The sequence below is a fragment of the Homo sapiens genome, chromosome 14 (assembly GCF_000001405.40).
Source record: "Homo sapiens chromosome 14, GRCh38.p14 Primary Assembly".
Taxonomy (NCBI): domain Eukaryota; kingdom Metazoa; phylum Chordata; class Mammalia; order Primates; family Hominidae; genus Homo; species Homo sapiens.
This window is the reverse complement of record NC_000014.9, coordinates 77,651,140-77,653,793: the sequence shown is the minus strand read 5'-3', so window position 1 is coordinate 77,653,793 and position 2,654 is coordinate 77,651,140. Positions and strand designations below refer to the sequence as shown.

The 2,654-nt window shown below is 47.1% G+C and overlaps 1 pseudogene; it reads left to right on the top strand.

The window, feature by feature from the left end:
• On the top strand, positions 664 to 1,089 carry COX6CP11 (cytochrome c oxidase subunit 6C pseudogene 11; annotated as a pseudogene).

Below are 2,654 nucleotides of genomic sequence, written 5' to 3'. Positions count from 1 at the left end.
CACCTCTAACCTAATTAGCCCCAAACCAGCCAGGAGTTGGCACTCATCCCCAGGTGCTCCCTCAGGACTCCAGCGTGTCCCAGAGGGCTGCCTCCCTGACCCAGGGCCCCGTCCCTGCTGCCCTTCCTCCTGCCACTGGGGGAGCAGCCTGCCTTCGTCCCCTCTCCTTACTTCCTTTCTTGCCGCTTTCCTGTCTTCTGTCTTCACTCACTTTAACTTAGGCAACATGCATTAAATAAACTCCTTTTTGGCTCACCTGGAGTGCTCATTTGCTAAGTTGCATCCGTTTCCTCTTTTTTTTTTTTTTTTTTTTTTTGAGATGGAGTCTCACTCTGTCGCCTAGGCTGGAACGCAGTGGTGTGATCTCGGCATGGCAATTCTCCTGCCTCAGCCTCCTGAGTAGCTGGGACTAGAGGCGCCCGCCACCACGCCTGGCTAATTTTTGTATTTTTGGTAGAGATGGGGTTTCACCATGTTGGCCAGGCTGGTCTCAAACTCCTGACCTCAGGTGATCCACCTGCTTCAGCCTTCAAAGTGCTGACATTACAGGCATGAGCCACTGCACCCAGCCCTTTTCTTCCTTTTCTTCAAAGTGGAAATACAAGGTCTCTTTGTTCTTCTGGATTATGACAGTAGTATGGTTTTCCTGCAAAAAATTCAAACACAGCCGTCCATTTTCCCATCAGCCAAGAAGGACGTTGTTGTTAAGGCTGGCATACCTATCAAGGACAGTAACTGCCATGGCTTCCGGTGCTTTGACGAAACCCGATGCGTGGCCTTCTGGCCAAGCACCTGTGCTTTCATCTTGTTTGAGAACTCATTGTATCTGCGGGGGTCGCAGCTCTCTATAAGTTTGCTGTGGCTGAACCAAGAAAAAAGACATACACAGATTTCTACAGTAATTATGAGTTCAATGAAAGATTTTTGAGGAAATGAGGAAGGCTGGTATCTTTCAGAGTGCAAAGTGATTTGGGAATATAAAAAATTTATTTGAGTTGCATCACCTAGAAGTTTGTCACTGACTTGTGTTCTTGAACTAGAAACATGAATGTGTGGGCTAAGAAATAGTTTCTCTTGATAAAGAAACAACATATTTTTTAAAAAATCGAAACACAGGCCAGGTGCGGTGGCTCATGCCTATAATCCCAGCACTTTGGGAGGCCAAGGCGGGCGGATCACCTGAGGTCAGGAGTTTGAGACCAGCCTGACCAACATGGAGAAACCCCATCTCTACTAAAAATGTAAAATTAGCAGGGCATGGTGGCCCATGCCTGTAATCCCAGCTACTCAGGAGGCTGAGGCAGGAGAATCACTTGAACCTAGGAGGCGGAGATTGCAGTGAACCGAGATCACACCATTGCACTCCAGCCTGGGCAACAAGAGCGAAGCTCCATCTCAAAAAACAAACAAACAAACAAACAAACAAAACCACAAATGTTTAAAGTAGAAAGTGAAAGTGGTCAGCCATCCCACTACAAGATAACCAGTGTTTTCAGTTTGGTTTATAGCATTCCAGATTAGCATGTGTGTGTATGAGTTTGTCATTTTACGTTTTTTTTTGTTGTTGTTGTTGTTTTTGGAGACAGAGTCTTGCACTGTTGCCCAGGCTGGAGTGTGGTTGCAGGATTTCGGGTCACTGCAACCTCTGCCTCCTGGATTCACGCAATTCTCCTGCCTCAGCCTCCCGAGTAGCTGAGACTACAAGCATGCACCACCATGCCTGGCTAATTTTTGTATTTTGGTAGAGACAGGTTTTGCCATGTTGGCCAGGCTGGTCTCCAACTCCTGACCTCAAGTGATCCATCTACCTCAGCCTCCCAGTGTGCTGCGATTACAGGTGTGAGCCACCGTGCCCAGCCTAGTTTGTCATTTTACTTTAATTTGAATCATAAATGAAAATCTGTCTCTCTCTCTCTCTCACGGTAATTTTATTCCAGCAGCCCTAGGTTGAAATCACAATGCTGCTACAAGGTCTTAGTCAAAAGCCACCCAGAATCATTCCGACAGAATGCTCTGGTTTCAGTTGGGGAGGAATCAGACAAGGTAGTATTGGAACCTTTCCTTCCAGAGGACTCCTAAGGTCCTTAGAGCAACTAGTCATACAAGCTCTACATATAGGCCGGGTGAAGTGGCTCACGCCTGTAATCCCAGCACTTCGGGAGGCCAAGGCGGGTGGATCACCTGAGATCAGGAGTTCGAGACCAGCCTGACCAACATGGTGAAACCCCATCTCTACTAAAAATACAAAAATTAGCCAGGCGTGGTGGCGGGCGCCTGTAATCCCAGCTACTCAGGAGGCTGAGGCACAAGAATCGCTTGAACCCGGGAGGCGGAGGTTGCAGTGAGCCGAGATCGTGCCACTGCACTCCAGCCTGGCAACAGAGCAAGATTATGTCTCAAACAAAAAAGCAAAACAAGACGAAAAAACTCTACATATAAAATGGCCTTTTCTAACTCATGGGAAAGTCTTTTTACACCATTTTCCCAGAACAAGACTTCTATTTACTCATATTTACCAAAACTAAGAGATCCATTGGCATCACGTTTCCCCCTGTAATAATAAAATATCACCATACTCAGGTAATTTGCTGGCTTCCCTTCAGAACAAAGCAGAGGATGGCAGGGTACTGGGAGGCAGCGGGGACTCACTTTAG